The sequence below is a fragment of the Homo sapiens genome, chromosome 9 (genome assembly GCF_000001405.40).
Source record: "Homo sapiens chromosome 9, GRCh38.p14 Primary Assembly".
NCBI classification, from domain to species: domain Eukaryota; kingdom Metazoa; phylum Chordata; class Mammalia; order Primates; family Hominidae; genus Homo; species Homo sapiens.
Window position 1 is genome coordinate 2,807,561 of NC_000009.12, and position 12,590 is coordinate 2,820,150.

A 12,590-nucleotide genomic window follows, 5' to 3' on the forward strand; every position below is an offset into this window, starting at 1 on the left:
ACACTGCACTCCAGCCTGGGTGACAGTGAGACTCCATCTCAAAAAAAAAAAAAAAAAAAAAAAAGATTCCTAAGGACTGACTGAAAGAGTTACATTTGCTTTCTAATATTTGGTATGTTTGTCTAGACCATGAGTGACTGGGAGTAATATTAGACTACTGAGAACAAATATTAGAACTGAGAAATCAACGTGAAGGAAGTGTGTCTTTTGCATGACCAGGCCCTGCTCAGAGAAGGGCACATGTTATACATACCTAGAAAGAATAATGGCACCTCGATTTACACTAGCCCAGGACTTCAGGTTCTTCATACCAACATGCTCTACAAGTGTTTTTGCAAAACAACCTGTAAAATATACTGAAGCTTAGTGAACATCACATAATAAGATATATACTCCCTACCCCCTTCTCTACTGCCCTTAAATCTGCAAATATTTTTAAACAAAAAAGCTAACAAAAGTAGCTTTCACCCAATCTCCCTTTTAACACAAAAAATTCCAGTGCAGGTTTATCTAATGCATTTCTAAAAGAGCCATTTCTTTTAACTCTGATCCAAAACCTAAGCTATGTTTAGCAGTAATTACTCAAGATAAACTATGAATTCTAATAAAACACTCACTTGGTTATGTCTGCACTTCTTTGTATTATTTAATGATTTAACTTTGACCTGAAAGCTATTCAGGAAATAAATGTTTCACAGTAGCACCTCATGCTTGGTTGAAATCAAGTTCTTCCTCATGGAGAAATGCTCACTCACAAGGTGCCATGAACATAACACAGTGTTCACGTGTTCAACAGTGGTTGATAAATGACTGTTCTAGCTTAAACTTGGCATTTCTCTTTACAACGCTTACATACTCACAAATCAAAAATACCATTTTTCTCCCGTTATTCTAGTATTTGATTCCCAAGGTCGTGGTATTATCTTTTTCACTTTGCAATTAATGCTTGGACAAAGGAGAAATTCTGATAGCTAAGATTTAGTGCAGATGGAGGTAGGGACAACCTATCTTGAAGGCAAACATCATAGTCAGGTAGCATGTACTATATAATTCATTCAAAGATACCTGAATGTAAGGACTCTTTAAAAGCCAAGAGGCCTATGGCTATTCAGCCTTTCATGGTACCTGCTAAAGAGGGACAGAGTTCAGCTAGTGAGGCAAATTGTTTTCCAAAGCTGACCACAATAATATCTCCTGTCCTGTGTGCTCTTCTAGAATGCAGCCACTCCCCCATCTATAGGGGGAATCCATGTCTTCTTTTGAATCACAGTGGGCCTCTGTGATTGACTTGACCAAGACAGTATGATGAAAGTGGCATTAAATGACTGCTAAGGATAAATCATGGAAGTGCCACGCATTTACTTTGTCCTCTTGGGATGCTCACTCTTAAAAAAGCAACCACCATCTCGTGAAGGAGCCCAAGCAGCCTAGAAAGGGAAACTGAGGCTGTTGGTCCCCAGCCAACAGTCAGTACTCACTTGCCAGCCATGTGAGTGAGCTAAGCGAAAAGTGGACACTCCAACCACAAACCGAGCAGCCCTAGATGACTCTGACTCTGAGCATAGAGGGGCAGGCTCCACCAGACCCTGATCAAGTCATTGTTTTGAAAACTACTAAGTTTTAAGGTGGCTACTATCCAGTAAAAGAGAATCAAAACAGCTAGACGTGCAGGAGGACAAACTCATTTGGTGCTGAATACGACAAGACAAACACATCAGACCCAAACTGGCAGATTTTAGGGTTCTCAGCACATTTTAATTAAGAGGGAGAAAAACCACTGGACATTAAGCCAGACTACTTTTCTGGCATAAACTCAACTATACATCAACTTTTTAATAATGAAAAAGATTATTCCATATGTTATTTTTTTCTTTAATATTTATCACAAGGCTTCTCTTTTACAAAAAAATTTAGTGAAAAATAGCCCCAGGTCCCCATTCTTAAAGGTAAGGTGAGAAGTGACAGCTCTACTGCTATACTGATTGCCACACTAGCCATCAGAGCTGCCACTTGCCGCAAGACATGAATTCATGATCTGTCACTTTTTTCCAGACATTGTAATGAAAAGCCCAAACTGTTTTAACTCAGTAGGGGAAAAAAATCTCTCCAGTGGTTTAAATACCAGATGGAATTTGGATTTTGTAAGTGAAGGTCTGGTTGGAGATAGGACTGAGAGGGGAATGGCATGCAAATGCTAATGCTGTCCTTCTCTAGAGAGCTGAGTTTCTACAGAGCAGCTGTAAGGCTTACAAAAAACCAGAAAGCGCCAAAGACTGGCTTACTCTTTGGTCACATGTATTTCAATGCCAAATAAACAGGCACTAGTCCAAAACTCTCTTACGAGGATAATCTTCTTCTGCTTATTCTTTCTTCAAACATAGAGATAAATGTCATGCCTTTCTACTGAGGTAATGATACTCAACAATTGGGGCCCCCTACCCCCTCTCACCATCCTCATTAGAATGGCATTTTAAGGCATTGACCAAGCCAGGTTAGAAGCCTGCAGCAGCACAGGAAGGAAAACAGAGAGAGTGAGGGGGCGGTGGGGGGGGCTGGCGGGGGGGGTTTGGAAAAAAGAAAATTAAAAGAGTTCTCAGGCACAAATATTTCTAGGGGAAAAAGCATTACCAGCAACCACTGAATCATTTCTTATTCACAGACACCATTTCTAGACACTTGGCAAACTTCATTTGAGCTTAAATGGCTGGTATAAAGTTCAGGGATGCCAGGAATTACTGGAATTCCACATGAGATACAAGAAAAGGTCAAATTTCATAGCCTACCTTCTCTCCCATTTTCTTTCATCTTTTTATCTTGCTCTATTAACCACTTCAGAACTAGATGTCCTGCAGGATGTTCTGCAATGTGAAGCTATGAAGGGTCAAGAACAGTTAATTTTAAAAGTTGTTTTCATTCATACAAATACATTTGAATGAATACATACTATTTATGCCACCACATACAGATAAGGACTCAGCCACTTTTAAAGTTCCACAGGCTTAAGAGGTCTTTATCTAGGACAACCATCATACTTGGGGGGACCACAGATCTATTCTGATCCCCAGACTGAAAGACAGTTATGCCAGATAACACAGCCACGGCACAGCGCTTCAGTCTCCGCTTCATTTAATCTGCTCTGAACAGTAGCAGCACAAGGCTCATCTTAATGCTAATCACGTCTTGGATTGAAATATGTCATTCTCAGACACAAATAAACCTACAGGACAGAACACTATAGCACAAACATCAAAACCCAATGCTGCATGCTGTTTAAGTACACATGACCACCGAAGGGGATTATCTGATGAGCGAATCAAGAAAGCATCTTTTCAGCTCAACCTTACTCCTCTTCAAGAGCAATACCAAGCGTTCCCAGTTATTTGGGCTACTCCTTAGCAAGTATGGGAGGCAACCGGCTCAGTCTCCTTATAGAGAAACTTTCAAGGTACATTCATCTTTCCCATTTGTTAATATGGTCAGGAGCCAGGGCTTCTCTAAGATCCATGGCCCACTTCTCTTCCCCAATCGCAGGTGTCAGAAGCACCTTGGGCACTCAATACTTGGCAATGATTTCATTCATAAGCAAATTCACATCTGTAAAACATTCCCAAGTACCAGGCTTTGACCCAGATGGTTAGAGAAAATTAAAGATGAATGTAATTGCTGCTGTGAGAGGTTCTTGGTTGTTTATTCAACAGGTATCTCCCTCCCCAGCTTTCTTACTGACACCCCACATCGTCCAAAAACGAAGTTTTTGTGGCCTTTGCAGCTTTCCTGCCTGTGCTTTAATGGCACATTACCTCTCCGTCCTTGCCACCAGGATGCAGTCCTGTTGCTGCCAAGCTGGCGATGGCATTCATGGTAGGCTGAACGTCTCCAGTGGCAGATCCCAGAATGTCAGACACCAACACACACGCAGACTTATCTAGCACCACTTCTTGGGCGTGTTCTTGCAGGTAGCTTAACAAAGCTGGAGAAATGGATTCTAGGAGCTCCCGTCTGCGGACCTCTGTATCTTTCTTACTGTTGAGTATGTTGAACGGGGTATTAAGGTAAGATAAATCGCAAAGGAAATGTGGTGATATTATCACAAAAACCTCTAAGAGCTTATCACAGACTGTATCGCACTCTATTATTATTGTCTATCTTTCTGTTAAGCATGTAGACAATAAGTGATACGAGTATGTGTTCTGTTTTTAAAAATGTTTGTGTCCCACGATCTGAATAGTGCCTGGCACAGAACAAGGGCTCAATAAAGGGAGTCTGACTTGTGTAATACCAAAAAAAAAAAAAAAAAAATCCAAAAACCAAATAACATACCCAGAAAACAACACATTTACACTGCTGTATGGACACCATACTCTAGGGTACTCAAATATGTGGTATCGGTAGCTTTGAAAATAAAGCAAAATAAAAGCCAAACCACGCACTTGAATGCCTACTATGTGCCAGGTGCTCAGGTGTTCTTTTGGCACGACACTTTTATTTCCTTGTCAAGATAAAAACTTTAGAATCTGTCAAAAATATAGGCTTGAAAATGGAATTCACCTTTTCAGCAGTTTTAGAGAGGGTATGGATGGGTAAGTGGACTTCTGGAAGAATGCACTACTCAACATTAACAGAGGAATAAAGAAGTCAAGCCATTCTACTTGGTTTTACCTGTGTGCATTTCCATCTCCTTTTTGCAGAACTTCAATGATTTCTCGTACTGTATGTGCAGGATCTCTGGGGCTTAGTAAGTACAATAGGACCTTCCTTCCATATTTGTCATTTACTATGCTAGGCAATGAACTGATAATTTCCTATAAAATTATAAACAAAAAAAAAGAATCAATATCTGCATTCTCAAAACAAAGTACCACAGGACCTTTCTTCCATATTTGCCATTTACTATGCTAAGCAAGGAACTGATAATTTCCTATAAAATTATAGTATATGTGCTGCCAAAGTGAGCACAATGTCCTATAAAATTATAAACAACAACAAAAAAATGAATTGATATCTACATTCTTAAAATAAAGTATGCCTAGAATTTCAATGGTGAAGAATACATACTTAACTACTATTTTTCCCAGCGTACTTCATGGAAAATGTGGAGCTAGTTCTGAAATTGTGTCATTAAAGCACACAGAGATTTACATTTAGAACACAGAATCAATTCTCTTTTGTGACTAGCATTACTGAACAACTCATTTGTATTAACTGACCAAGCCCAAGGACTTAAAAAATATTTAAAGGTGTTATCTTCATTCATTATGGCCAGTATTTCTTGGGCCACTATTACTAGGGACATCACTTGCTGAGGTCACTGAGTAGAGGCAGTTAACTTGCAGCTGCATTTAAATGTAGCACCGGCATGAATGAAGAACACTTCTATTAGAATTTCCCTGCTGAGATGTATGTGAAAGGAGATAAAGAAACTCTGTTAAATCGAACAAGTGGATAAAGGCTTTTAAAGTTAGGTTGCTTATTCATGGCAAATGAAGGCTGTTTAGCTACCGCAATGAAAAACAAAAACAGAAGAGGAGGGGAAACCAAATCCAGAAAGCCTCGACTAAGCAGTTACAAATTACACTATATGACATTTCCAATCAACATACCCAAGAACAGTAACCTCCTTTTCTAGTTGTTCGAATTTAAGGGACAAAAGCAACGTCATCCCCACCCTAACTAAACTCCTGTGTAAATCTGCTGTTTTCAAAGATAGAAAAGTCACTTGAAAATTTTTAAAAATTCCTTTATTCTTAATAGAGAAGATGCAACAGAAGAGTCATCAATTTATTTCCCCACCTCTAACACTCCTATTTCTTGTAACAAACTTTATAAATATTCAATGCATGTTTGAGCACCCCATATTCTTCAGAACTGGCTGGGCCTCGGAAAGAGTTCTGTCCAACTGGCCAGGTTTACAGATGAGGCATCCAGAAAGAGGAAAGGATCTGCCAGGGGACTCACAGTGGCAGTGTCCTGGTCCTCCAACTCCAAATCTAGTCTCTTTCAAAGAAAACATAAAACCTCCTCTTAAGGAAGGGAATTCTCTCTGAGATGATATATTCAGATCTGCTCTTCTTAAAAGGGCCTATTTATTATGATGAGATTAGTAATTTTAGTGTGAGGAACCAAGCTCAAAATCAAGTCAGCCATCAACGATGGGACCGTGAATCTCACTGCATCATGATCCTATGGCTGATGATGCTGCTCCAGGTTCCAAACACCATGTTTCTCTTTTTAAAATCTCAACCTTCCCTCATTTTTTGCACAAAAGTATAGCATGCTTCTGATAACAGTAGCTAACACTCGTTAAGTGCTTACTAGGAGTCAAGCACTACTGAGAGCTGCACACTGATCATCTAACGTAATCTTCTGACCACTATGTCCTGTTTCTACCAGTCCAATCCCCATTATGCTCTCCTAACTACTTCTGAAGTTTAAGATCACAGTATAAAGATTCCCATGTAACACATAAAAGTTTTCAGAGAGCTGAAAATTCAATAGGTCTAACCACCTCAAAATGAATAACTAATTACAACCACTCAGGGAAAATGAACTTAAAATTTCAGTAACAAACGGGAAAACACACAAAAAGCATACAGAACTTGTTACAAGGCAGGGAACTCTCTCAAGGAAAACAAGCTCCAAAGTGAACTCCAACTATTTTTTTTTTTTTTTGAGACGGAATCTCACTCTGTTGCCCAGGCTGGAGTGCAGTGGCGTGATCTTGGCTCGCTGCCATCTCTGCCTCCTGGGTTCAAGCAATTCTCCTGCCTCAGCCTCCGGAGTAGCTGGGACTATAGGCTGCACTATGACACCCAGCTTATTTTTGTATTTTTAGTAGAGATGGGGTTTCGCCATGTTGGCCAGGCTGGTCTCGAACTCCTAACCTTAGGTGATCCACCCACCTCAGCCTCCCAAACTGCTGGGATTATAGGCATGAGCCACCACACCAGGCCAATCTATGTGTTGCTGATAATGAAGTGTTTAGTGCCCCAAATATGGCATACCTTGAGTGTGCCTTTAGTGTACCTTTAGGTACCTATATTAAGCTTTAACCAACACATAAGAGAGGACAAATGCTTTGTTATATATTTTGTTAATTTGTTGAAAGAAAGAGGTGAGAATAATACATAGCCTGGGCCAATTTCTACAGTTTAAAAAACAAAAACAAAAACAAAAACAAAATTTCGCTGCCCTTAACAAAATGACTCTGAAATATAACACCTTTAAAAATTTGTTTTTTTGAGAACAAAACCAAAACAAAACAAAAAAACTGGGCAGTATGTAGTGAACAACTATAATGGCTACTCTACACTTTTAGTTAACATTTTTTTCCTTGGTATAGGGAGGAGGCATGAAGCCGGCAATGTATTCCTCAATACACTGAGCTTTCTCCACAGCTTCCATGCTTAGGGACTAATCCAACACATATGGCTTGGGCAGAAATGGTTTTATAAAATGAGAAACTGGGACTTCATGATATGCATAAAACCTGTGCTTAAATACTACTCAGACCAGTCCCCAAATTCATTGAACTTTACTCCCTTTTGGTTTGTAATTAAGGAATTTAGAATCTAAATTCGTATTTAATTAAGGCTTTTAAAAGAATGCATGTTTATAAATAACAATTTTACAAAAAACTAAAAAACATTTCTTCAAAATGTAGTATCATTTTTTCAACCCACCTTATTGATCAGCAAAAAAAATGTAGTATCATTTAATCCTTCCCCAGCTCACCCTCGTTACAGCTTTCCCCTACCATCAAAAACATACACCTTTGAAAGAGTACTACTCCATTTCTCTTTAACTTGGGTTACAGAGAAAATGGGGAGGAAGTTCTAGATTATCACATGGTGTGTACTAACAATTCCAGTAACATGTATAAATAGGTAAGAGACAGCTAAGGCATAGTTGATTTTGTGCAGAATTTAATCTCCGGGGTCTTAAGTTCAAGCTGTGTAGCCTTTGGCAAATCCATTAAACTCTTTGCATATTAATTCCCTTACATTTAAAAGGAAATGATACACCTGCCTAACTCATGGGCTACTACCAGGAGCAAATCAGAAAAAGTCACACTGCAAAGTGAAAGCTGCCATAAAATAATTATTTCATATTAAAAACATACCTTTCAATATGTATAGCCTCCTTAACTATGGAGATTAAATAAAGCTAGCTGAGTCATGAGTTTTTACCCTCAAGAGAAAGAATACCAAAAATTGTTTAATTCAAAAGGTTTTGGCTTGGCTTACTCCTAACAAGAGTTAACTTACAGAAAATTCACAAAGGCCCATTTATTGTAATTTCTTCTTAAGCTCTAAAGTAGGCATGTAAACAAAGAAAGCATGGGAATTACAAAAGACTTCCCTTCTGAAGACATCTTTGGCCAGTTCTGACTGCCTTGCGCTGAACTCCAGCTAGATACCTTGGCACTCCTGTTTTGCCAATGCGCTTTTAAAGAGGAAGGGTAAAAGTCAAAATAAAGATACACACATGAAGTAGGGTTAAGGCGTGTGCGTTTTTGGTTGAGGGTAGAAATGTAAAAATCAACCCATCCATGGTGCTGAAGACTGAGCCTGTGGTGTCCACTCTTACGGTAGTTTGCTATGGGGACAAAAAGAAATGCAGACTACTGCATAGAACCTAAAAGCTAGTGAAGAGGGAAGAGAGTTAATAAAAAGTTAAAACTAAGAGATTTAACTAATGGATAACAGAAATATAGAGGGCAGGTTAGATCATCAGGCAGCTTCCCAAGTATTTTGTTCTGAAAACAGGGTGACTGTTTCCAAAAGTCTACCTTTTCAGCTGCACTAAAAAAACTGGAAGGTCTAGTTTAGTGGGTACGCTGCTTCATTCAGTTTTGCAAAATAAAAAAAGTCCTGGAGATTGCCTAACAATGAGCATATTTAATACTACTTAACTGTATCCTTCAAAATGGTTAACATGCTAAATTTTGTTATATGTAGTTTACCTCAATTAAAAAGAAAACAAATGTGAAGATCTATCGCCATGGAGCTCACACTGCCAGGGACTGGAGCTGAATGGTGCCCACCACCTTGCAGAGGGTGTGTGCTCTCGCCATTTCCTACAGTCCCTCCCACATCTCCTTGTCTCACACCTGGCCTGGCCACTCATTTACCTATCTGGTCAATGAAGGTTTGCAGGTTTGTGAGCCCTGGGTGAGATCATGATTAACTGCTCAAGGAAAGGATGGCAAAGAAAAAGACTATAGTAGTTGAGTGGGTGGGGAGACCACATCTGACTAGAAGATCACTATCTGCTGATTACACTAGAGCTTAGTCTTAACAGAAAACAAGCAGTGATTATCGGGCTATGATTTCAACTTGACATTTTGGGAAATCTAGTTACTCTAAATGGAATGCTTAGCAACACACTAAGCTTTCTTGGCTATTTTTAAAAGCACTGCGTAATGCAATGGTTTCGTAGTGGCTGAGTGGGAAATAGGAACACGTGACTCTCTATATAAACATACATGCAGCAAATTTGGCAGCCCAGCAATTCTGCTAAGTGCCTTAGAGAAACTTAACATGTACCCAAGGAAATATACACAAGAATGTTCAAGGATTTGGATTAGCAAAAATTAAGAATTAAAGTTAGTTTTTAAAATTGTAAACAACCTAAACATCCATCACCAGGAAAACAGAAAATAAATCGCAGTATAGTCACATGTAATAGAATACTATTTGGCAGTGAAAAATAAATGATTTAGAATAGGGATGGGTAAACTATGGCCCATTGGTCAAATTCAGCCTATAGCCTGTTTTTGTCCATCTTGCAAGCTAATAATGGTTTTTACATTTCAAAAGGGTTTTAAAAAACAAAAACAAAATGCACAAGAATACATGATAGGACCATATATACCCCACAAAGGCTAAAATAATTATTAACTGGCCCTTTATAAAAAGGCTTGCTGACCCCTGACAATAAATCTCACAAACATGAGAAAAGAAAAAAAGCAAGATGCAGAAAAATACATGTAAGACATCATTTATACAGAACTTGCAAACATGTAAAATAAAATTAGATACATGTTTTACAAAATAAAAAATGTCCACATATAGTGAAAGGATAAGGAAATGCAGATGAATAATAAATACCAAATTTATCATAGTAGATATGGGGCGATGATAGGATATCAGGGATGGGTACACAAAGGGCTTAAACTTGAACTGTATTTGTCAAGTTTTATTTCATGTCAGGTGGTGGGAGGCTGGATGTTCACTGTATTATTCATACCTTTCTGTATATTTTAAAGACAATGGCTTTAAAAATATGCATCAATATTTATTCACCCTCAAACAGCAATTGGCTAGTATACTTATTTACTTTCCAGCGACCATTGCTGTCAAACCGTCTGCATATCAATTGACTGCAAAGGTAAACTGGATGAAACTTTATGTTTATTTAGGAAAGTAGTAAGAAAGAGCTCGTATCCATTTTGAAAGGCGAAGAGCTCAGCTGACCAGGCTGTGATTTCAACCTGACATTTTGGGAAGTCTGGTGCCCTGAACAGAGTGCTTAGCAACACTAAGCTTTCCTGGTTATTTTTAAAAAGCACTGCATACTGCAACTGTTTTTGTGGTGGATGAGTGATGGGAAAAATCCAAGGGCAATTAGCATTCCAGAATTTTATCACGAGCTACACAGTTTAATAATACACAGAACCTGTTGAACGTTTGTCAGTTACAGGAAAGAGATCGGCAAATCAGGCCATTCAGGGAAAGCTGCCCTAAGTATGAGAAAGTCGTTAAGAATGTGGGTTAAGCAGTTGTGGGAATCAAAGTGATAAGCATAAGGAATTAAAACTTTTTCAACAGCAACTTTAAGTGGCATACATCTTTGGAAAAAAATTAACAGACAATTCTGGCAAATCATGAAGGAAATTTGGTTTCTCTTGAAATCCATTTGGAACAGCTATGCACATTTTAGTTGTCGTGAAAATATTAAACAAAAGCAAACTTTCAATATCCCAGCCTGTTTCCATTTCTGTGAAACAACTTTATTCATCAGCCAATTCTATGGCCTCACATCTCTGTCACAAGAATGAAAAACAATCATTATTGATTGGAGTCAAAAGGGTAATAAAGTCACAAGGAACATGTCAAAATACTCAGTTTGTAACATGAAAGTCTTGCCAACTTGTTTCTTCCCACAATCCTATCCCAAAGAAAGTCATCACAATCTTAAAACAGTCAAGGGTAAAGTTGGAAAATGACAGCAAGGGCATGAGAAATTCACACACACTGGGACCTACGGCTGGCATCTAAGAAAACAATCTTCCCCTCCACTAGCTGGTATACTTTTTCTACTACACTCAGCTCTACTGATCCCAGGAGGCTACAAAGAGAGACCACAACACCACCACCTGACAACAGGTAAATTCTCTTTTTGAATCATCATATTCTTCTTTCTTGCAGATGTGAAAGTACCACATGTCATCACTAAGATTTCTCCAAGGGTCCCATTTATGTATATCAAACAGAAAGGCTTGTGTAATTTTCAGATGAATAACCTATGTCTATACAGATTATGTGGTTTTCCAGACGTTTCCAAGTTTGGTCACTACTATCAAACTAGTATTTTCTTATCCCCACCCTGCTGCAACCTCTACCATATACTCAACACCACTCATACACTAAAAACAAAAGAAAAGACAATTGTAGAATCAGAAAAAGAGACTATTGATGCAGAATGAAGAAAACACATAGTTTAGAATGCAATTTTTACTTTGGAGTACTTCCCCTAAGAGGACAATTGGTTTTTCTGAAGGCAACGTTAGCGATAAATACACTACATTCAAGTATTACCACTTTATGGCCACTACACTGGACTAGAAGGAATTTCTGAAATGTCAAAAGGAAGCTAGAGTTTTAATTTTAGTAATAACTTTTAATCTGACCCTACAAAAGCTCTAAGAAGCATCACAACTGAGTGAGTTTTGTACATTTCTCTTCTCCATCAGCTCAATCCAGCACAGATGCATTGATTAACTGGGTAACTGTGCAGAGGTAATTATTTCTCCACAGGGAGAGAGATAATTTAATAGGTCACAGATACTCTCTGCTTGTATTTGAGTTCTGGAATAACTAAGGAATTACTATGCTAGTTTCTGATCATATCTAAATATCACTTTGCTAATTTTCCATAGTTTAGAATCACGTATGTTCTAAAGTACCATGTTATCCTAATCCAAAATAAAAGTGTTAAATCTTAATTTGACCAGTCTTAAATATTTAAAACAGTATTAATATCAAGTTACAAGGTTAAGATTTACACAGGAATAAAACAAACCTCCAAAATAAAACATAATTAACTTAAAAGTAAGCAAAAATACTGATAGAAGGCACAGCTGCAAGTCTTTACACATGCATGGTGAAATCAAGCTTACACATCCACAACTGGTTTATCGATGTAACTTAAATTCAAGACCATCAGGATTACTTACTGATATGATTATCTGCTTCACAAGCTTAGTATCATCAATACAATCAAATGCCGCCAGTAAAACCAAATGGGAGTATTGGCCCTGCAAGAATTGGAAGCCAGCAAAGGTTAAAAACAAGTGCATAGATCTTCCC

At 38.3% G+C, this 12,590-nt stretch overlaps 1 protein-coding gene across 1 annotated transcript in view, besides 2 other annotated features; it reads right to left on the minus strand.

Annotated features, from left to right (window-relative positions):
* Window positions 1-12,590, minus strand: part of PUM3 (pumilio RNA binding family member 3) — a 39,944-nt gene that overhangs the window by 3,409 nt on the left and 23,945 nt on the right. Inside the window, exons 13-17 of the mRNA NM_014878.5 lie at window positions 12,458-12,538; window positions 4,660-4,802; window positions 3,801-4,023; window positions 2,784-2,871; window positions 254-344 (exon numbers count right to left, since the gene is read on the minus strand). Of these exons, the coding sequence (NP_055693.4) occupies window positions 254-344; window positions 2,784-2,871; window positions 3,801-4,023; window positions 4,660-4,802; window positions 12,458-12,538 (626 nt within the window). The remainder of the gene's footprint in view (window positions 1-253; window positions 345-2,783; window positions 2,872-3,800; window positions 4,024-4,659; window positions 4,803-12,457; window positions 12,539-12,590) is intronic.
* Window positions 928-1,803: an enhancer, noted in NCBI's record as "NANOG-H3K27ac-H3K4me1 hESC enhancer chr9:2808488-2809363 (GRCh37/hg19 assembly coordinates)". NCBI's record gives its function as "activates a minimal SCP1, AML or CMV promoter by ChIP-STARR-seq in primed H9 embryonic stem cells {active_cell/tissue: H9 hESC(primed)}" and the evidence as "EXISTENCE:reporter gene assay evidence [ECO:0000049][PMID:30033119]".
* Window positions 3,555-4,428: an enhancer, noted in NCBI's record as "NANOG-H3K27ac hESC enhancer chr9:2811115-2811988 (GRCh37/hg19 assembly coordinates)". NCBI's record gives its function as "activates a minimal SCP1, AML or CMV promoter by ChIP-STARR-seq in naive H9 embryonic stem cells {active_cell/tissue: H9 hESC(naive)}" and the evidence as "EXISTENCE:reporter gene assay evidence [ECO:0000049][PMID:30033119]".